The following is a 23,207-nucleotide window of genomic DNA, read 5'->3' as shown; positions in this document are numbered from 1 at the left end:
TAGACATCGTGCTGGGTACTGCACTTAGTAGGCACCTGATCGCATTTCTGTTCGGCAAATTCAGAAAATGTGAGCGACTGAAACTTCATTAGGTTGAAGGGGAATTTACCTTTTCACTACGTCTGAGCAAAGGGTTTATTCGGTAAGGTATATTTATATTATATTATATTATATTATATTATATTATATTATATTATATTATATTATATTAGTGCCCCATGGAAATTATATTTGTTTCTCTACAGATAACAAAGATTCTTATTTCTCTCTTAAAATTCAAAATAAAGAGTCTTACTGACATCTACCATAAATCCTCTGCTGTAACCAGGTAGAGTATAAATAACTCCATAAAAAGAGAGTAATGCTGTCTTGCATTTGCACAGCACTTTACAGTTTAGAAAGTATTTGCTTGCCATGTCCCTTTCGATCCTCCTGATAGGTTTGCGGGGTAGGAAGGAGAGGTACTGTCATTTCCATCTTCCTGGTGGGAAACAAACATTTGGAGAAGTTGGGTGACTTGCCCCAAGGTGACACAATAGTGAAGGGTTCAAACCAGGACTTAGTTAGTTTGGGTGTCAGAATGGGTCAGAGTGGGTTTGTCTTAGTTAGTTTGGGCTGTGTATTAGTCTCTTCTTGCATTGTTATAAAGAAATACCTGAGACTGGGTAATTTATAAAGAAAAGAGGTTTAATTGGCTCACAGTTTTGCAGGCTGTACAGGAAGCATAGCTGAGGAAGCCTCAGGAAACTTACAATCATGGCAGAAGGTGAAAGGGAAGCTGGCATGTCCTACATGGCTGGAGTAGGAGGAAGAGAGCAAAGGGGAAAGTGCTACACACTTTTAAACAACCAGATCTTGTGAGAACTCACTCACTGTCATGAGAACAGCAAGGGGCAAGTCTGTCCCCGTGATCCAATCCCCTTCCCCCAGGCCCCTCCTCCAACACTGGGGATTACGATTCGACACGAGATTTGGGTGGGGACACAAATCCGAACCATATCAGGCTGCAAATAACAAAATAGTATAAACTGGATGGCTTAAGCAACAGAAATCTATTTCTCACAGTTTTGGAGGCTGAGAAGTGCCACAATCTGGCTGATGTAGCTCCCAGCGGACCCTCCTCCTGGCTTGCAGAAAGCTGCTTTCTCTCTGCATTCTCACATGACGGAGGAAGTGGGGGGTGGGGGGAGCGGAGGTAGAGAGGGAGGGAGGGAAGAGGAGAGACAGAGCAAGAGAGCAAGCCGTCTGGTGTCTTTTCTTGTAAGGATGCTAATTCCATCACGAAGACCTCATCCTCATGATCTCATCTAAACTAATAGTCTTCCAAAAAAGCCCACCTCCTAATACCATCATAATGGAAGTTAAGGCTTCAACATATCAATTTTGAGGGGACACAGTTCAGTCCATTGGACTTAGAGTTCACACTTCCTGGACAAGATTTTGGAATGTTGTAAAGTTTCTTCAGAAAAACAACTATTTTCCCCCAAGCATTTATAGCCCACTTTAGCAGCACTCAACTGCATGCCTCTGATCTATATGCTAATTTTGGATCCGCCTTATCTCTTAAGGAATCCAAGAGTTTGTGTGTGTGTGGATGCTCCTTGATTTGAAATCCTTATGTGCTTAGAACTAATGGCGTTGTAAAACACACTCCACAATGTACCCTTCTCTAATTCAGCCTGATTTTCTCCCATCCCTCCACGTTAGCCAGGCTCCCATGCCCCTGTTTTTGATCACGATTGATTGTCCAGCTCCAAAGCATCATCTGAACGACTTATGGTCTTTCTCCCGAGTGTTGGAGCCCAGGGTAGGCAGATGGGAGAGGGTAGGGGATTTGAACCGGGGAAAGACATTTAAATTTCCTCCTGTTCATCTTAGCTTAGGAAGTTACCTGCTGTCTGAAGGGTGTATCCCTATTTTATTATTTATTTATTTTTACAAAACCAAGGGAAACCAACAACGAACGCAAGAGGAGCTCCTCTGCCTCTGATTCCAGTAGCTGTGTTCTCAGGTTGGAGCAGCCAACCCAGAAATTGGTGGCCAGTGGCTAGGGTCAGGATGAGCAGAGTGAACGCGAGTTCTATGTCTGATTATAAAAACTGTACTTGCTCCTTATGGAGAATTTGAAATCTAGGGAAATTATAAAAATGTAAAGTGTTATCAGTCCTTTGTCAGCCATTGGGCTGGTTGGTTGGTCAGAAGTCATCACTGTTATAGACCCTCATTGCTTAATGAAAATTAATTTGTCAAGCGATTTCCTTGATGATGCTAATATTTATTGAAAGGTTACCCTAGGCTGAGTTCTGGCTAACAGCTGTATATGTGTATACTTTTATTTTCCAAGTGAAGAAACAGGCTCAGAGAGGGTAAGAACTTACTCACGGTCACACAGCAACTGAGTGGGGCGGCTAGAATTTGGGTTCAGATAGTCAGACGTTAGAGTTCAGGTTTTTCATCCCTTCAACATCTACACATTTTTCAAGAAATAACAAGATTCACTTTTGGTTTGAAGAGGAGTGCATGGGAGAGAAAGAAAAGTACCAAATGGGAAAAAGAGAGAGCAAGGAAACCAAACTCCGTTTGTGGTCATGAGCTACATTAAAAAAAAAAAAAAAAAAAAAGCCAGGCCAGGGACAATGGCTGGATTATGCCTGTAATCCTGCCACTTTGGGAGGCCAAGGCAGGAGGATCAATTGAGGTCAGAAGTTTGAGACCAGCCTGGGCAATATAGCGAGACCCCATCTCTACAATTCTTTTCTTTTTTTTCTTTTTTTGAATTAGCAAGGCGTGCTGGTGTGCACCTGTAGCCACAGCTACTGGGGAGGCTGAAGTAGGAGGATCGCTTGAGCCCAGGAGTTCAAGGCTGCAGTGAGCTATGATCCCACCACTGCACTCCAGCCTGAGCAACAGAGTGAGACTCTCTCTGAAAAAACAACAACAACAAAAACAAAAACAAAGCAAAGCTGGTGGTTTCACATGAGTGTTGCTCCTTCTGGAAAGGCATCACTGGAGTGGGTGCCATATTTTGATGCTGCTGCTGCCAATGATGAGAACATGGGCAACCTCTTTTGCCTGTAATTTTTTTTTTTTTTTTTGAGACAGTCTCGCTCTGTCGCCCAGGCTGGAGTGCAGTAGTGCATTCTCAGCTCACTGCAACCTCCACCTCCTGGGTTCAAGGGATTCTCCTGCCTCAGCCTCCCGAGTAGCTGGGATTACAGCTGCCTGCCTCCACACCCAGCTAATTTTTGTATTTTTAGTAGAGATGGGATTTTGCCATGTTGGCGAGGCTGGTCTCAAACTCCTAACCTCGTGATCCACCCGCCTCGGCCTTCCAAAGTGCTGGTATTACAGGCATGAGCCACCGTGCCCGGCCAAGAGAGACTTTTCTACACTTTGTAATTATGTTATTTTTAAACTGAAAACTGTGTTTCCTATTTCTTAGTGTTAGAAAGAAAGAGAAATCCCTCAGAACAATCAGCAGCCTGGAGCATAGTTTGAGACTCCCACTAACAGAGCCAAGAGTCTCAAACTAGGCCAACAGATACCCTTGGGGAACCCTGCTGTATCCCTGGGACATAAAAAACTACAGTACAAACATCATCATCTTCCTGGAGGATGAATAAACTTTAGTAGAGTAATAGTAACTTAAAACACATGTGGCACAAAATAGAACGCAGAGTTCACAAATACCTAAGGTAAAATAAGACTTCAAAGAAAATTTCACCTTTGCAGAGGTTATTTTGGGCTACACTCCACAGAGTATGAATTCATTCTCTTTTCCTCTCAGGGATAGTTTGTTAAGAGTTTGAAAACCACTGCTCTGGGCAAACTGCCCTCCGGAGTCACACACAAAAAATCAATCTCGTTACTAAAGATAAATTTTATTTCAATAAAAATTGTAATGAGCTTGATCACCTACCCTTTTCACCTGACTTGGCTACAAATGACTGCCAACTGTTTAAAAAAGAAAATCCAACCGACCCTCAGAGCTAATATGCTATTACTTTTAAAGATTACAGACAGGCCAGGCGTGGTGGCTCACGCCTGTAATCCCAGCACTCTGGGAGGCCAAGTTCCTATTTCTTAGTGTTAGAAAGAAAGAGAGAGAAATCCCTCAGAACAATCAGCAGCCTGGAGCATAGTTTGAGACTCCCACTAACAGAGCCAAGAGTCTCAAACTAGGCCAACAGGTACCCTTGGGGAACTCTGCTGAGGCTGAGGCAGGAGAATTCCCGGAACCCGGGAGGCGGAGGTTGCAGTGAGCTGAGATCGCGCCATTGCACTTCAGCCTGGGCAGCGAGAGCGAGATTCGGTCTCAAAAAAATAAAAAAATAAAAAAGCCTCTCTTGTGTCCTTGTCCCCAGCCTTCCAGCTCTCCTCTGAGGGAACCAGTTTTCAAGATGGCCCGCAACAATCCCTGCCTGCTGCCATTCACACCTTGTTTAGTCCCCTCCCACGCTGGAAAGATCCATGTTGGGGCTCGTGTGTGACCAATGCCGCAGAAGTGATGTTATGTCACTTCCGCGATTACGTCATGAAAGACTGCAGCTTCCATTGTTGGCTCTTTCTTTCTCTTTCTTGGATCAGTCGCTTTGGAGGAAGCCAGCTGCCATGTTTTGAGGACACTAAGGCACTTTATGGAGAGGCCCACGTGGTGAGGAATTGAGGTTTCTGTCTAAGAGCCAGTAAGGAATAGAGACAACCACACAGTGAGCCTGGAAGCCTAGTCTTCAGCCCCAGAAACGCTCAGATGACTGCAGTCCTGGCTGACATCTTACCTGCAGCCTCATTGGAGACCCTAAGCCAGAGCACTTAGCTGAGTTGGCTTGTGGGTTCCAAATCCAGACAATTAGATGATAAATGCTTGTTGTTTTATATTTAGTTTTAGTTTTTGTGACTACATCGTAGGTGTATATATTTATGGGTTACGTGAGATATTATAGGCATGCAATGTGTAATTATCACATCAGGCTAAATGGGGTATCCATCATCTCAAGCGTTTTCCTTTGTGTTACAATCTAATTATTCTCTTTTAGTTATTCTAAAATGTACGATTAAATTGTTTTTGATTATAGTCACCCCATTGTGCTAGCAAATAGTAGGTCTTATTCATTCTTTTTTTTTTTTTTTTTTTGAGATGGAGTCTTGCTCTGTCGCCCAGGCTGGAGTGCAGTGGTGCGATCTTGGCTCACTGCAACCTCTGCCTCCCAGGTTCCAGGAATTCTCCTGCCTCAGCCTCCTGGGTAGCTGGGACTACAGGCGCCTGTCACCACGCCCGGCTAACTTTTGTATTTTTTAGTAGAGATGGGGTTTCACCATATTGACCGGGCTGGTCTCGAAGTCCTGACCTCATGATCCACCCACCTTGGCCTCCCAAAGTGTTGGGATTACAGGAGTAAGCCACCGCGCCCGGCCTTATTCATTCTTTCTAACTATTTTTTTGTACTATCATGGTTCACTGCAGCCTCATTTTGACCTCCTGGGCTCAATTGATCCTCCCACCCCAGCCTCCTGAGTAGCTGGGACTGTATGCACATGCCACCATACCTAGGTAATTTTTAAAGATTCTTTTATAGAGATGGGGTCTTCTTATGTTGCCCAGGCTCGTCTCAAACTCCTGGGCTCAAGTGATCCTCCCGCCTCTGCTTCCCAAAGTGCTGGGATAACAGGCGTGAGCCACTGCACCCAGTCGATGGCGTGTATTAAAAGGAATGATGATATAAATACTGATGACTAACGTTTATTGAGTGTTTTTTCCATGTCAGGCATTATATCAAGCACTTTACATGCATATCTCATCAGTAAAACATTTGCATTTTTATTTCTTATCACTAGTAAATCCTTCTCCTCCCAGAAGCATTTAAAAATCCACAAACCATGGCTAACTTCCTGTGAAATGGCTTAGTGGGCAAAAATTCAGAATAAGGGGAGTGTGAGTCCATGTCTCCTTTCCAGAGATGAAGAAGTTTGTCTTTTCTGTGCATGAAGAAGACAATGGGATATGGATGACACTAAACCTTTGAAAGTTCCTGCTAACCTCCAGGTGGAAGGAAAAGGCCCACGGTGATCAATAAATGTGTTTGCTATTTTTTGGGTGAAAGGAAGAGAGCCTGCACCTCTGTTGGGGTAGGTTATCCACGCTGTCTGCCTGGGGTCCAGATTCCTGGCATTGATATGACTTCTTGGCTCTCTTGAGCCCTGAATCTGCTTCAAATTCAGAAAGCCCCAAGACTTATGGGCTCTATAATTACTCTGGGCTTTGGAGAATGGTTTCTCTTATGAGCAAAACAATGGTGGAAACTTGTACCAATGAAGGAAACACACAAGCGTGTAGAGGAACATTGCTGTTTGCTGATGATGCTGGTGGCTGCTTGGGTGAGAGATAAACTCTCCAAAGAGCGTTGGCCCTTTTGTGGCTGCAGGATCTGGGTGAAAGAGATTCTTGTAGTCTATCCTATCACTAGATACTATCTGTCTTAGTCCATTTTGTGCTGCTATAACAGAATACCACAGACCAGGTAATTTACAATGAATAGAAATTTACTTGGCTCACAGTTCTGGAGGCTGGGAAGTCCGAGGTTGAGAGCTTACATCTGGTGAAGGCCTTCTTGCTGCATCATGGTGTGACCCAAGGCATCACATGGGTGAGAGAGAGGGTGAGAGAGAGCACCTACTCCTGTGAAAACCAGCCCGCTCCCATGATAAAGGCATTAATCCATTCAGAAAGATGATGTCCCCATGATCCAAACACCTCTTGAAGGCCTCACCTCTCAACACGGTTGCATCAGGGATTAAGTTTCCAGCACTCGAACTTTGGGGAACACATGCAAACCATAGCAATATCTGTGCCGGATATTTTGTATTTGCTCCTTTACATCCACTGTCCACCCCCATTTCCTGCTTTGTACCCCAGGAGGCTGACTTCTATGGACTACATCACATGTGGTCTCCCATCCTCTTGTGGCTGCTTGGGTTTGGCCAATGGGGTGGGGATCATAGAATACTAGAAGGTGGGAGGAGAGAGGGATTCGGATATTTATTTCTGTGGCTCCTTCCTGTTGGGTTGCCATAGGTTGGAAGCTCCTGCCAGGCAGCTGTCTTTCCCTGAAGACTGTGGCTACTCTCCTTGGGTTCCATAACTATTTCCCCTCCAGGTCTAGGGGTAGAAATGGCTCCTCACTGCTGCTAGTTAGGGCTACTGCAACCTCCCTTTTTGTTTTTGTTTTTTTTAATCCCACTTATACAGCTATATATAGCCCTTTGCTAAACTCTTTTTAGTTACCCCATTTCAGTTTACTATGTATTTCCTGCCACAACCTTGATTGATACAGCAGCCCAGAGAAGGGAAGCAATTAACTTTCTCACTCCTTTATTCATTCATCCAACCTCCCATCAACACTTACTCTATGCCAGGACTTGTGCTGAGGCTTTTAAGAATGAGACATGATTTCTTGTCTATGTCCCTGAGTTCTCAGTTGTTCACCCCAGAAACTGACTCTTACCAAAGAAAGAGAACATGCCGAAGGCACTGCTGAAGGCCCAGCCTTGGAAAACACCCCATACAAGGTGACTCCAGATAGCTTTATAGTGGCAACTCCTCCAAGGGCATGCGTTAGGGATAGGCTGATCTGGGGACCCCTGCTCTCCCTGCAGAGAATTCATGGAAACCCAATAGGGCCTGTGTTCTTGCATCATGAGTCAAGGTGCCAAGAGAGATCACCTGATTGGCTGATCCAGAGTCACACGGTTGGGGGAGGGTATACAAAGTGGAGGGCTCACCACAGCGGTCAGAGATAAGGCTGCTCCTTGCAGCTCTGTTTTTTGCAATTCCTCTTGGACCCTCCCCAGTTCGGCCACCACCCTTGAGGCTAGCAAGGGTGAGTTGTGTCAGAAGCATTCCATGCAAGGAAATAACAACTTGGAATCCAAATATATTCATTAGTAAGTAATGGAAACCTGAAATTGCTTAAACAAGATGGGACATTATTCTCTCACATTAAAAGGAATTTGGGGGTAGGTGAGTCTAGGGTTGGTTTATTCAGTAGTTCAGTTGTATCATCAAAGACCTGGGCTCTTGCCATCTTTGTGCTCTGACTTACAGAGCAAGGGCTTAATTCCAGTCTTTTCCTCTAATGAGCACAAAATGGGTGCCACAGTGCCTTACATCACATCCTAACACAATAACGTTCAATGTCCAAAGGTCAGAGGAGAAAATGTGTCTTCCTTGTGTCCATTGTTGACAGCAAGGAGGAAATTTCCATCAACTCTCATTGGTCACAATGGGTCACGTGCCTATTCGAAAGCAATCACTAGACAGGGGGTCAGTATTACTATGATTAGTTTAGGTCAGTCAAGATTCACTCCTTGAGGCTCAGAAGGGCAACTTCTCCTAAAGCATGTGACTGTTCAATACTTTAAAAATTGGGGTTCTCTTAGCAACGGAGAAGATGAGGCTCTTTTTTTGACAAGCAATTGTAGCATCTATCAAAGCATAAGAAAAGCTTGTGAGTGATGAGGTTGGAGACTGAGAAGGTTCCAGAACATGACATTCTGGTGAAGTAGGCAGGACCCAGGAATCTCAAAAGTGACCCAATGTCACAGAGTCTGTTGGTGGCAGAGGAATTGAGGCATCTAGAGGCATCTAGGCAGAGTGATTGAGGCATCTCACTTTCTACGCAGAAAAGGAGGCATTTGCTCCACAAAAGCCTCCTGCTAATTCCAGGGACCTTTCGCTGTAGAGACAACTTTATGGCATCAGTGACAACTTTGGCCTCATTGTCCTGACAGAGCCTAGAATGGTGCTATCTTTGGGCTTCATATCTGTGAGGCACTCAGAAATGTATGAAGCATTTCCAAGTCCATGGTCTCATTTGCTCTCCACTTTGCAGTGGGGAAACTGAGGTTCAGACAGGTGAAGAGACCCGATCAAGGTCACATAGCTGGAGAGCAGGAAACACTGAGCTCAACCCCAGATATTTTAACCAAAGGTTTTAGTTCTCTGCCTTCCTGCCTTCTAGATAACTCCATACAGTCTGCAGGGTAGATCCTCAATCATGATGTATGAAAAGCGTGAATGAATGCAAAAAAAAAAAAAAGGTTTAAAAAAGCTGTGCAAGCTGGGCACAGTGGCTCACACCTGTAATCTCAGCAATTTGGGAGGCCAGGGTGGGAGAATGTCTTGAGGCCAGGAGTTTGAGACTAGCCTGGGCAACATAGTGAGACTCCTTTTCTATAAAAAATTTAAAAATTAGCTGGGTATGGTGGTGTGCATCTGTAGTCCCAGCTACTTGGAAGGCCTAGGTGGGAGGATCACTTGAGCCCAGGAGTTCAAGACCAGCCTGAGCAACCTAGGGAGAGCCCGTCTCTACAAAAACTAATATAAATTAGCAAGGTGTGGAAGTGCATTTCTGTAATCCCATCTACTTGGGAGGCTGAGGTGGGAGGATTGCTTGGGCACAGGAGGTCGAGGCTGCAGTGAGCTGTGATCACACCACTGCACTTCCAGCCTGGGTGACAGAGTGAGACCCTGTCTCAAAAAATAAAGTAAAAAAGTTGTGCAAAGATAAAAACCCAGTTATGACTCCCATTGTGGACCCATAAATAAAGCAAAGTTATCAAATAGAGATGTGTGAGCTGCTGAATGGAACAGAACTCACTGGGTTTATGGGGCTGTGTCAGGCACCTCTGACAATGCCAGATATTTACTTTGCAGATGAATGACTTCATTGCTTGCCCCAAATGCATCACTGGTGGGTAATATTTACGCAGATTGGAAGCATTCTCCCTCCTTTATTTGGTCCTGGGCTGTTTGTAACCATTGGATTTTTTTACCTTTTGACTTGACGTTGTTCTTCACGGGACCGTGGTATGGGATGCATTTCAATAAACAATACCAAAGTGACAGATTTCGGCTTTAAATAAAATTGTGTTCCGTAAAGTGGGAGACAAAGGCTTATAACTCACTGTCGGCTGCAGACATTTTGGCAAAAATTATCTTTCCGGCTTTGATCTCCACTGTATCATTTTACTGAGTGGCCCCATGTGCTCTATCAATCAAACCCACTGAAGATGCAGGAGAATCACATTTAAAATCAAATACAAATTGTAGATTCATCTGCCCAGGAGGAAGAGAAATGTGTCATGAATCCTGCCTTCAGTCTTCTATGATTACAATGGAATTAGTTTTTGAAAACTCCAGAGGATGGTTTTCCACTTCCCAACTTTCATATTATTATTATTATTTTTGAAGGGGGTAGCATTAGATGGGTAGAGAGGTAGACTAAAGTGATTCAGCTGTGAGATCGGAGTCTCGCCTTCCATCTAACTGTAGGTTAGGGCCTTTTAATATTCCTCTGACAGAGATTCTTTATGTAGGAAGGGATGTTAAGAAGAAAGATGTTCTCTAACAAGAAAACATTTAGACAAAGAGGATATGACCTCCCTCACTCAATCTCGCCTGCTTTCTTGGCATACATGGGAAGAGAGGATGAACTAGAAAGGAAATATTATTTGCTGATCTCCTTTCTTTGTCTGAGGCACATTGCACAGGATGTCTCATTTGATATTCACATGCCCATGCGAGGTGAACAATCCACACCATGCTTTACAGAAGGGGAAACTGAGGTCAAGAAACATGCTCATGGGCCGGGCGCGGTGGCTCACGCTTGTAATCCCAGCACTTTGGGAGGCTGAGGTGGGCAGATCATGAGGTTCAGCATTCGAGATCAGCCTGGCCAACATGGTGAAACCCTGTCTCTACTAAAAATACAAACATTAGGCCAGGTGTGGTGGCATGCACCTGTAATCCCAGTTACTCGGGAAGCTGAGACAGGAGAATCGAATGAACCCGGAAGGCAGGAGGTTGCAGTGAGCTGAGATTGCACCATTGCACTCCAGCCTGGGCAAAAAGAGCGAAACTCCGTCTCAAAAAAAAAAAAAAAAAAGGAAAACAAATATTAGCCGAGCATCGTGGCACGTGCCTGTAATCCCAGCTACTCAGGAAGCTGAGGTAGGAGAATCGCTTGACCTCACGAGGTGGAGGTTGCAGTCAGCCAAGATTGTGCCACTGCACTCCAACCTGGGTGACAGAGCAAGGCTCTGTCTCAACAAAAAAAAAAAAAAAGAAAAAGAGAAAAGAAACATGCTTATGGCTGAAGAGCTGAGCCCAAGTCTATGTGATTCTGAATAACATGCTTTTAATTTAATTAATTAATTAATTAACTTATTTATTTATTTGAGACAGGGTCTCACTCTGTCTCCCAGGCTGCAGTGCCATTGCACCATCATGGCTTGGCTCACTGCAGCCTTGACCTCCTGGGCTCAAGTGATCCTCCCACCTCAGCCTCCCAACTACCTGGGACTACAGGCACACACTGCCATGCTCAACTAATTTTTTTTTTTTTTTTTGCATTTTTTGAGGAGACGGGGTCTTACTATGTTGCCTAGGCTGGTCTTGGACTCCTGCATTCAATTGACCCTCCTGCCGCGACCTCCCAAAGTACTGGGATTATAGGCTTTAGCCACTGTGCCTAGCCTAAAACTTTTGAGAAAGAATGCTTCTTGTTGATTGTCTCCCCTCTCTATTACCTTAGTGTCTGGCATATAGTAGGTGCTTGAAAGCACTTGTTTAGTGCCTAAGCCAGGGGCTGACAACCTTACTGTAAAGGCCCAGATAGTGGATTATTTGAGGCTTTGGGGGCCATGTGCTCTCTTGCAACCATGCAACCCTGCCATTGTAGTACAAAAGCAGCCACAGACAATACTTTATTTATAAACTCTGAAATTGGAATTTCATATAATTGTCATGTAATGACGTATTATTCCTTTTGTCTTTTTCCCACTAACTATTTAAAATGTAAGAACTAGCTGGGCGCAGTGGCTCATGCCTGTAATCCCAGTACTTTGGGAGGCCGAGGTGGGCGGATGACCTGAGGTCAGGAGTTCGAGACCAGCCTGGACAACATGGTAAAGCCCTGTCTCTACTAAAAATACAAAAATTAGCCGGGTGTGGTGGCAGGTGCCTGTAATTCCAGCTACTCAGGAGGCTGAGGCAGTAGAATCGCTTGAACCTGGCAGGCAGATGTTGCAGTGAGCTGAGATGGTGCCACTGCACTCCAGCCTGGGCGACAGAGCGAGACTCCATCTCAAAATAGTAATAATAATAATAATAATAATAATAATAATAATAATAATAATATAAAATGTAAGAACCATTCTTTCTTAGCTTTCAGGCCATAGGAAAACAAGCAGCTCGGATTTGGCCTTCAGGCTGTATTTTGCAGATTCCTGGTCTAAATAATTACCTTAATTATCACACTAGCAGATACTAAGAACTAGTGTATCTCCAAAGTCTAGTTTGGTGCCCGGTACAAACATTCTTTCCCCAAGGTGGAGTCCACTTGACCAGAGTGGAGAGTTACAGTGCTGGGGAAGAGTTGGAAGACATCTCTGCCTGGGGGTGGGGGGAAGGGCAGAGAAATCTCTTGGGGTTTGTTCTGGGGAAACTGGGAATTGTGGGAGAACTGAGGAGGCGGGAAAGGGGACTTTAAGAATATTATTGTGGGCCAGGCGTGGTGGCTCACGCCTGTAATCCCAGCACTTTGGAGGCTGAGGCGGGCAGATCACGAGGTCAGTAGATCGAGACCATCCTGGCTAACGCAGTGAAACCCCGTCTCTACTAAAAATACAAAAAAGTAGCCGGCCATGGTGGCGGATGCCTGTAGTCCCAGCTACTCGGGAGGCTGAGGCAGGAGAATGGCGTGAACCTGGGAGGCGGAGCTTGCAGTGAGCTGAGGTCGCACCACTGCACTCCAGCCCGGGCGACAGCGAGACTCTGTCTCAAAAAAAAAAAAAAAAGAATATTATTGCGGGTTAGGAATTGGACCTTTTATTACAGAGGTTCTCACTGGGGACTGAATTGTCCCGTGTGTGTGTGTTTGTGTGTGTGTGTGTTTGTGTGTGTGTGTGTGTGTGTGTTTGTGTGTGTGTGTGTGTGTGTGTGTGTTTGTGTGTGTGTGTTTTAAATCTGCAGAGAGCTTTTGGTTGCCCTAATGATAGGGATGGGGGAGTCATTACGGTGTGGGGTAGTTTTTTGAATATATATATGTGTAGATCCCAAATTCATATGGGTTAGAAGAACCATGATTATCAGAGTCTATAACCTTGTTCTATTTTTTTTTTTTTTTTTGAAACAGAGTCTCACTCTGTCACCCAGGCTGGAGTGCAGTGGTGCCATCTCGGCTCACTGCAACCTCTGCCTCCCTGGTTCCAGCGATTCTCCTGCCCCAGCCTCCCGAGTAGCTGGGACTACAGGCGGGTACTACCACGTCCAGCTAATTTTTGTATTTTTAGTAGAGACGGGGTTTCACCCTGTTGGCCAGGATGGTCTTGCTCTCTTGATCTTGTGATCGGCCCACCTTGGCCTCCCAAAGTGCTAGGATTACAGGTGTGAGCCACCACGCCCGGTCCAACCTTCTTCTATTTTATCTGCCTATTCTATTTTATATGTTTACATGTTCTATTTTACATGTAAGTGTTGAATGAACACTGATGTTTCCAAGAATGTAGCAGCTATGGTGTAAATCAAGAGAAGATTTGACTCTGTTTGGTATGGGAATTTATCAAGAAAGAGCCACTCTTTTGAAGAACATGGCACTCTCAGTAAAGCCGATGCGACAACACACCACGCTGTCTGCGTTTGTGACTGTCACTGGTTATTCTACACACACGTGTGTGAGCACTTGACTGCTTCGCTCCGTCTTTCCTGGTGGAAACCCATATCATTTCTCTATATATTATTTCATTAGAAATCCTCATCATTTCATTTCTCCTTTTTATTATAATTAGGGCACAATTGTGATTGGTTAGAAGAGTAGATGGGTTATAGGATCAGCACATTTTTTTTTTTTTCAGGGTAGAAAAGAGAGCTTTTCAGCTGGGCATGGTGGCTCACGCCTATAATCCCAGCACTTTGGGAGGCTGAGGCTGGTGGATCATTTGAGGTCAGGAGTTCGAGACCAGCCTGGCCAACATGGTGAAACCCTGTCTCTACCAAAAATACAAAAAAAACAATGTACCGGGCATGGTGGCACGCATCTGTAATCCCAGCTACTCGGGAGGCTGAGGCACGAGAATCGCTTGAACTCAGGAGGTGGAGGTTGCAATGAGCCAAGATCCCACCACTGCCCTCCAGCCTGGACTATAGAGTAAGACCCTGTCTCAAAAAAAAAAGAGGGCTTTTCAATTGTTGGTTAAAACATGGGACATTGGATCTGATGGCACCAAGAATGCCTGTCCTGTAACACTGTTTGAGCTGATGTGTGGGGAACTGCTTTTGGATTACTTATGGGTTGCTGAAATATACTTCTCTGAATGCAGAGATTGGGCCCCTGATTATATTTGGGAGGCAAAACCATCACCTTGTAGGCACCTGGCAGGGTAAAACAAATGGATGCTTCTTAGAGGCCAACTGCTCTCTCACTTCCTGTTTCCCTTTTGTTTGCAGCGTAAAGCCAGATGCCTTTTATCTCTTGTATCACTGCTGGTTGTCTGAGAATTTTTTTTTTTTTTTTTTTGGACAGAGTCTCGCTCTGTCACCCAGGCTGGAGTGCAGTGGCGCAGTCTTGGCTCACTGCAACCTCTGCCTCTTGGGTTCAAGTGATTCTCCTGCCTCAGCCTCCCAAGTAGCTGGGATTACAGGTGTCCACCACCATGTTCAGCTAATTTTTGTGTTTTTAGTAGAGATGGGACTTCACCATGTTGGCCTGGCTGGTCTCAAACTCCCGACCTCAGGTGATTCACCTGTCTTGGCCTCCCAAAGAGCTGGGATTACAGGTGTGCACCACCACACCCAGCTGATTTTTGTATTTTTAGTAGAGATGAGGTTTCACCATGTTGTCCAGGCTGGTCTTGAACTCCTGATCTCAAATGATCTGCCTGCCTCAGCTTCCCAAAGTGCTGAGATTACAGGCATGAGCCACCACGCCTGGCCTGGGCAGAGTTTTTAAAAATGCTTCAAACTCTCCTTTAGCTCAGTTTGGGTAGAGTCATTCCTTTACAGTATAGTTACAATGGAGCTGCCAATCAGCTCAGGCCACACCCAGCCCACAGTCTCAGAGGGGCTGGGTCCCTGCTCTTTCTCTCTCCCTGAAAAGTGGCTGTTAATTTTCTCCTTTAGTCTCCTTTCCCCAGAAAGATATTTCCCTTTACCTTATGGGAGTTTGATAAAACTGGCATCTCCAGCCTTCTTTTCCTTATGTTGGTTTTTCTGCCACAAAAGGCCCAGAGACATTGTCTATGGAACGTTTGGCTGCAGCTGGGCAGGCGTTTTATTCTATTGGAAAATTCCACTAGGATTTTCTATGATTACAATAGAGCATGGGTCCTCAGTCAAACCCTCCACCACTTATAAGAAGCTCTGTGACTTTGGGGAAGTGACTTAACCTCTCTGAGCCTCACTTTTTCTATTTGGAAAGAGTGATGGGATGGTAGGTTTTATGTGTTAACTCTTAGGGATACAGGTGCACAGCTAGTTGCCTAAACATCATTTTGGGTGTGTTCGTGAGGGCGTTTTGGGATGATTGTCATTTAAATTGGCAGATTGAGGAAAGCAGTTGCCCCTCCTAATGTGGGTGGACTTCATCCAATCCACGGAAGACCTGAATAGAGCAAAAGTCGGTCCTTTCCGAAGTAAGAGAGAATTCCTCCTGCCTGAAGGTTTTTAAACTGCACCATTGGCTTTTTTCTGCCTTTGTACTCAGACTGAAACACTGCTCTTTCCGGGTTTCGAGCCTGCTGGCCTTAGGACTGGAACTAACACCATCAGTTCTCTGGGGTCTCCAGTTTGCTGCCTCACCCTGCAGATGACAGCACTTGTTAGCCTCCATAATTGCGTGAAATCTCTCTCTCTGTTTAGACATTGGTTCTGTTTCTCTGGAAAACCCCAATCAATACAGGCGGTGATAATATTTTGAGGATTAAATGATACAATGAATAGAATATGCTTAACACACAGTGAGTGCTTGGCACATATGATCTCCTCAATACACATCAGCTTTATCATGGAAATTATTATGTATCATTATACAAAATATAATAAGATTTCAAACTTGTGTTCTCTTAGATGTCCTCTAAATTATTCAATGGAACAAAAAACTCTTCACTCATTTTTGTGTGTATGCAAACTTAATGTCTTTCAATAAAATTTTCCAAGTTATTGTATGTTCGCAAGGACATAATTCTGTTTGACTTCCCATCTTTGCAATACTAGTAGTGAGCCTCATTAGCACATGAATGCTGGTGTCTGTGAGATGTGCTTGCCTTCACTGTCCTGTTTGCCTTGCCCAAGGTGGGCGATGGAAAGGACAAGCCATCTATTATTGGTTGGAGGAAAGACCAACCATCTACTGTGGCAGTCTGCTCAGGCTGCCATACAAAATACCACATACTACGTGGCTTAAACAGGAGACATTTATTGTTCACTATTCTGGGGGCTGGGAATTCGAAGATCAAGGTGCTGGGTGATTTGTTTCTCCAGTGAGGGCCCTCTTTGTGGCTTTCAGTTGGAAGCCTTCTTGTTGTATCCTCACAGGGGAGAGAGAGAGCACGCAAGCATGAGAGAGAGTGCAAGAGAGAGAGGGAGAGATCAAGCAAGAGTGAGAGAGAGAGAAAGGTATCTCTGGTGTCTCTTCTAATATGGACACATCACATCTCCAGGACCTTAGGCTTATGATCTCATCTAAACATAATCACCAAAGCCGCATCTTCAAATACCCAAATACCGTAACACTGGTAATTAGGGTGTCAGCTTCGACATATCAGTTTGGGGGTGGAGGCACAAACGTTCATTTCATAGCACTTCCTTTTCCAAAAATGCTCCTTAATCCCTCCCTGCCATCCTTGCTATTCTCATTTGACAGATGAGGAAATTAAGACTCCACGATGTGCCTTAGGTTGCCCATAGCTGTACATCTTATAAGTGCGAGCTCCCCAGATAATTGCATTCATCCACAAGAGCAGAGTTAACTGCAGCATCATAGCCATCCAGGGAGCGTAATGCCCCGTTAAAAATAACAAAGCGTAGAGACCCAGCCTGAACTGAAGATGTGTCTGTGGTTGGGGTTCAGGGTTCTTTGATTTCCAGATCTACCACCCAGATATTTGTCAAGTTACATCTACTTCTGGTGCTCATTTCCACATCTCTAAAACAGAAATAATAACAGTGCCTTTTTGTTGCTGAGAGGATTTTGTGGCGTCATGCAGATGAAGTGGCTCTCAAGAGCCTGACTTAGTAAATGTTGGCTGTGTGTTGGGCATTATTAGCTAAGATGTACAAACAGCAGAGGTTTGGTTTGTATGAGTAGATCATATTCCTGCCTGTTGTCACTGAGGGAGAGCAGAGTCCTAAGGGGAGGGGACACAGGTCAGGAGAATTCTAGGGGGTGGGGGATGTTTCTGATTTCTCAACAATGGGTAAATCTGGGAATCTCATGAGAGCTTCAGTGGGTAAATCTTGGAATCTCGTGAGCAAAATGGGGACATGAAGAAGGAAGAAAAGCTGCTTGGAGGATTGGTGAAGGAGGAGGGAAAGGGAAAAAAAAAGGAAAAAACATTTAGGTGGTGCTAAGTGCCACGCATTTTCCATTTTTGCATCAGTGAATTGTAAAATCACACTGCAAGGCTGGGGATATTATCCCCATTTTACAGATGAGAGAGAGGAGGCTGGGCAAGTTAATGAACTGGTTCAAAGTATCACAGCTAGAGAGTTGGAGCCAAAGTGAGATCGCACCGCTACGCAGACTCTAAAGCCCTTGTCTGTATATTGAATCAAATTTCCCCTTTTGCTGGCTTAGGTAAACTGAGGCAGGAAGTGATGAGAAAGGGTTAAGAGACGTCGGCTGCTCCTTAAACATCTCCCTTCCCAGTGTCATTTGCCATCCATAAACTCTTTCAAAATGTGATAACGGTTTTGATTTTCCTGTCATCTCGATTTGATATGAGAAATTTGGGATTTCCAAATTGACAGAAAACTCGATTTTAAAGATGCTGGAAGGGAAACATCTGTGAAAAATCACAGGAATAATGTCAACATCTGTCCCTGTGAAAGGAAATTGCTGAGGTTCTCAATTTACAGCCAATCAATCAATCTTGGAGGCCAGGGTGCTTGCAAATTGAAATGCATGTTGAAGCTATAGGGATGGCTAATTAATTTAGTTTGTATGCCTATAAGATTTTTCATTGTTTCCTATTCAAAAAAATTCTCTTTTGAATAGGAAACGTGTGCATATGGTAAAAAAAAAAAATTAAACAGTACCAGAAAAAGTATACAGTGAAAATTAAGTTTGTTTTCCATCCCAACCACCAGTTCTTCTTCTCCAAGGTCAAAAGTGTTGCTGGCTTCTCTTGAAACTTTCCAGAGATACAATCTTTATATAGAAAAACATATGTATATATGTCTCCTCCCGGTTTTATAAATGATAGCCCATTGTACATATTACACTGCATCTTGACTTCATTCAACAATATATCTTTGAGGTTTTTGCATAGCAGTCCATATAGACATTCCTTATTCTTTTTATCAGCTGTGTAGTATTCCAGTATACGGATGTGTATAAATTAATCAGTTCCCTCATGGTGGACATTCAGGATATTTTCTGTCATTCTCCACAATTTATGCTAGTATGTCCATCTTGGTGTGTGTTCATCAGTAGGATACAAATCTAGAGGTGAGCCTCCTGGGCAGATGGGATGTGCATTTAAGGTATGATGCCTTCATGTAAAGGGAAGGTTTCCTTTTCTTTTTTCTTATTTTATTAAGAGACAGGGGTCTCACTATGTTGCCCAGGCTGGTCTTGAACTCCTGGGCTCTAGCAATCCTCCTGCCTCAGCCTTCCAAAATGCTGGGATTACAGACGTGGGCCACTGTGCCTGGCCAGGTTTTCTTTGTTATCTTGGAGGGAGCATCACCCCCGTCAAGGAGATCAGATTGGTGAAGGTGGGATGCTGTGTCTGAGAGCTTAATGACTGTTCACAGATATTGTGGCTGCCCTTCTCTAATGTACCTGCTTCTTCAGGCCCAAAAGGTGGAAATGATGTTTGTTTCTTACTTCTTTGGGGCTTTGACTGTGCCATTGAGATTTTGTGCTCAGGGATAAACTACCGTGTATTTACAGTTACCTCAACCTGTGAGGTTTGATGCCTCTTTCTTTCTTTCTTTCTTTCTTTCTTTCTTTCTTTCTTTCTTTCTTTCTTTCTTTCTTTCTTTCTTTCTGTCTCTCTCTGTCTTTTTTTCTTTCTTTCTTTCTTTCTTTCTTTCTTTCTTTCTTCCTTCCTTCCTTCCTTCCTTTCTTTCTTTCGTTCTTCTTTCTTTTTTCCTTCTTCTTTCTTTTTCTTTCTTTCCTCTTTCTCTCTCTCTTTCCCTCTCTCCCTTCCTTCCTTCCTCCATCCCTCCCTTCCTTTCTTGCTTTTTTTTTTTCTTGCTTTGTTACCCAGGCTGGAGTGCAGTGGCATGATCATAGCTCACTGCAGCCTTGAACTTCTGGGCTCAAGCAATCTTCCTGCCTTGGCCACCCTGGGATTACAGGTGTGAACCGTGGCGCCCAGCCTTGGCCACTTTCTTTATTCTAAACTTCTTTGTTCCATACTTTGCTTCTTTTCCCTGGATCCATCCCCACCAGCCTCCCTTGTCACTCCAGTGATAGGACACTCAGTCTTGCCAAGTCAATGTAAACCCAGACCCTTCTCATTTAAAACCTAGTCTCTTTGGTAAACAGTCAATTCAGGATCCTCACATCAATCTGAGTTTTAAATCTTAATTAGTTGAAAGATTTTCATATCTTTATCTTTCCACTTTGGTCACTGGCTTCGCTGTGGGTGCTGCACCACTCAGACCTCTGTGCAGGACCACCGAGGCCCTCTGTCCCCCCAGCTGCTGGGAGACCTAGCTGCTAACAGCTCATAGCAAAGTCCTGCCTCTGGCAAGAAGGCACCTGCAGGAAGCCACCTAGTGCTGGGAAATCCTCCTCCCCTCCTAGGCATCCCATAATCCTGGAGGGTTACAAAGGCTCTGTCCCTTGCCCCTCCGTATGGGAGTGTATTAGTCAGCGTTCTCTAGAGGGACAGAACTAATAGGATAGATGTATATAAAAAGCGGAGTTTATTAAGGAGTATTGACTCACACGATCACCAGGTGAGGTCTCACAGTAGGCCATCTCCAAGCTGAGGAGCAAGGAAGCCAGTCCAAATCCCAAAGCCTCAAAAGTAGGGACGCTAACAGTGCAGCCTTCAGTCTGTGGTCAAAAGTCCAAGAGTCCCAAAGCTGAAGAACTCAGAGTCCGACGTTCGAGGGCAGGAAGCATCCAGCACGAGAGAAAGATGAAGGCTGGAAGACTCAGCCAGTCAAGCCCTTCTATGCTGCTCTGCCTGCTTATATTCTACCTATGCTGGCAGCTGATTAGATGGTGCCCACCCAGATTGAGGGTGGGTCTGCTTTTCCTAGTCCACTGACTCAAATATTAATCTTTTTTGGCAACACCCTCACAGACACATCCAGAAACAATACTTTGTATCCTTCAATCCAATTAAGTTGACACTCAGTATTAACCATCACAGGGGGTGTCTCAGGGGTCCTGGCGACTGTTCCACAGTGCCACTCCCCTCTCTGCCCAATGCTGCTTCCTTGCTTTCCAGCAGGTGCTCCTCCCAGTAAACCCCCTGCACCCAGATCTCCATCCCACAGCTTGTCTCTCTAGAAACCTGACCTATGACAGGCTTATAAACACCACAACAGGGCATGGGTATGGGCCAGGAGAGCTACTCCTCTCATCTGCTGAGGGTCCTACCCCAGGACCCCTGGGGAGGGATGAGGTCCCTGTTGTTCATCTGGGTGATCATCTAACTCCTGATGAGCCCAGGAGTTAGAGACCGGCCTGGGCAACGAAGTGAGACCCCATCTCTCCAAAAAAAAAAAAAAAAAAAAGTCAAAAAATTAGCCAGATGTGGTGCATGCCCCCAGCTACTTGGGAGGCTGAGATGGGAGGATAGCATTAGCCCAGGAGGTTGAGGCTGCAGTGAGCTATGATTGCACCACTGCTCTTCATCCTGGGTGGCAGACTGAGACCCTGTCTCAAAAAAGTTGTCATGGTCCTATGACATTTTTTTAGGTCCTATGCAGGGGTGCAGGTGGAGGTGGTTTCTGGTTCTACCTGACTGTCTTCGTTCAGCCTCGTCCATTTGTTGACTCTGCTACCCACAAGTGAAAGAATATGGCATCTTTCTCATCTCTATATGGTCCCCATGCAGTAAGGAGTTGACTCAGCCGGTCTGGGGAGTTCAAATCCTGCACATTCCAAAGAAAGCTCTGGCCCTTGACTGGCTCCTGGGAGATAACCGCCAAGTCTTTGGAACATTCTGCCTGATAAGAGTGTCTTTGTTTACCTATGGCCTCAGGCTGAGCTAGCTAGTCCATGCTAACAATGCAATTTATGGTGAGTGCCTGTTTTTGTATGTGTCAGTTTGACCTCTAGAGGGGCTGGAGACTGAGTAACAAAAGTCACCCATGCAGGTGCTCCATGCCTGGGTGATGAAATGCTGATAAAACCCCTGGACACCAAGGCTTGGGGGAGCTGCTGTGGCTGGCAGTACTTTGTATACATTGCTAATTGTCTCTTATAGCTTGGCTGTGTCCCCACCCAAATCTCATCTTGAATTGTAGCCCCCACAATTCCTACGTGTCGTGAGAGGGACCCAGTGGGAAGTAATTGAATCACAGGAGTGGTTTCCCCCATACTGTTTTCATGGCAGTGAATAAGTCTCACAAGATCTGATGGTTTTATAAGGAGAACCCCTTTCACTTGGCTCTCATTCTCTCTTTGCCAGCCGCCATGTAAGACATCCCTTTGCTCTCCCTTGCTCTTCTGCCATGATTGTGAGGCCTCCCTAGTCACATGGAACTGCGAGTCCATTAAACCTCTTTTTTTTTTCATAAATTACCCAGTCTCGGGTGTGTCTTTATCAGCAGCATGAAAACAGACTAATACAGAGCATTAGGAGCTATCCTTCTAACTCCACTGGGAGAAAACTATTGGAAACTTACCCCTGGTCTCTCTTGGAGAGACCTATGCATCTTGTACCTTGGTTGATTTTAATCTGTATCCTTTTAGTGCAATAAACAATGTTCATGAGGACAATGGCTTTCCTGATTCTGTGGGTCCTTCTGGCAAATCAATGGGCCTGAGGGCGGTCTTGGAGATCCCTGACAAAAGTCACTGTAGCCAGGGACCATCATCTGTTGAGCTTATTTCAGAGGAAGATGTCATAGGTAATGGGCGTTGGGGGCACCCTGGTTCCATTTGTTGACTCTGCTACCCAGAAGTGAAAGAATGTCGCATCTTTCTCATCTCTGTATGGTCCCCTGCAGTAGAGTTGACTCAGCAGGTCTGGGGAGTTCAAATCCTGCACATTCCTAAGAAAGGTCTGGCCCTTCACTGGCTCCTGGAAGATAACCACTAAGTCTTTGCAACATTGTGCCTGATAAGGGTGTCTTTATTTACCTTTGTTCTAGTTCTTGTTCTAGGTGCTGGTGATAGAACTGTGAACCAAAGGTCATTGCCTTCAAGGAGTTTATATTCAAGTGGAGAAGATGGAAAACCCTCCCCTCACGAACAAACAGACTCTGAAACCTGATAAATAAATATTAGCATTCAGTGAAGTGTTAATGAGTTTCTGTGAGCACATACAACCCTTACCAGAGTTTATCTCATCCTGCCTGAGCTAGCCCCTGCCTCCCTCCCCAGCCCACATATTTTGCCACACCCTTTTCATTCCTCCCAACATTCCAATTCCTTCAACACATGGAACTCCTTCTCACCCCAGGGCCTTTGCACATGTTACTATCTCTGTATAAATGCATTCCTCTCACTTGACACCTGGATAACTCCTCATTGTCCTAGTCTTAGCTTAAATGTCATCATCTGGCCAGGCATGATGGCTGACACCTGTAATCCCAGCACTTTGGGAGGCCGAGGTGGGAGGTTCGCTTGAGCCCAGGAGTTAGAGACCAGCCTGGGCAATGAAGTGAGACCCCATCTCTACCAAAAGAAAAAAAAAAACAAAAAATTAGCTGCATGTGGTGCTGCATGCCTGTAGTCCCAGCTACTTAGGATGTTGACGTGGGAGAATCATGTGAGCCTGGAAGGTCGAGGCTGCAGTGA

The 23,207-nt window shown here is 44.9% G+C and overlaps 1 long non-coding RNA gene across 1 annotated transcript, besides 2 other annotated features; it reads left to right on the top strand.

Annotated features, from left to right (window-relative positions):
- Window positions 805-1,306: an enhancer, noted in NCBI's record as "H3K27ac hESC enhancer chr16:15397585-15398086 (GRCh37/hg19 assembly coordinates)". NCBI's record gives its function as "activates a minimal SCP1, AML or CMV promoter by ChIP-STARR-seq in primed H9 embryonic stem cells {active_cell/tissue: H9 hESC(primed)}" and the evidence as "EXISTENCE:reporter gene assay evidence [ECO:0000049][PMID:30033119]".
- Window positions 1,310-1,811: an enhancer, noted in NCBI's record as "NANOG hESC enhancer chr16:15397080-15397581 (GRCh37/hg19 assembly coordinates)". NCBI's record gives its function as "activates a minimal SCP1, AML or CMV promoter by ChIP-STARR-seq in primed H9 embryonic stem cells {active_cell/tissue: H9 hESC(primed)}" and the evidence as "EXISTENCE:reporter gene assay evidence [ECO:0000049][PMID:30033119]".
- On the top strand, window positions 4,575-22,658 carry LOC105371097 (uncharacterized). The gene is made up of 3 exons (XR_933125.4): window positions 4,575-4,654; window positions 5,836-6,126; window positions 22,559-22,658. It is a non-coding gene; the product is annotated as an uncharacterized LOC105371097 (long non-coding RNA).
- The last annotated feature ends 549 nt before the right edge of the window (window positions 22,659-23,207 follow it).

This window comes from Homo sapiens, chromosome 16 (assembly GCF_000001405.40).
Source record: "Homo sapiens chromosome 16, GRCh38.p14 Primary Assembly".
Lineage (NCBI taxonomy): Eukaryota > Metazoa > Chordata > Mammalia > Primates > Hominidae > Homo > Homo sapiens.
This window is presented reverse-complemented; position numbering and strand designations above follow the sequence as displayed.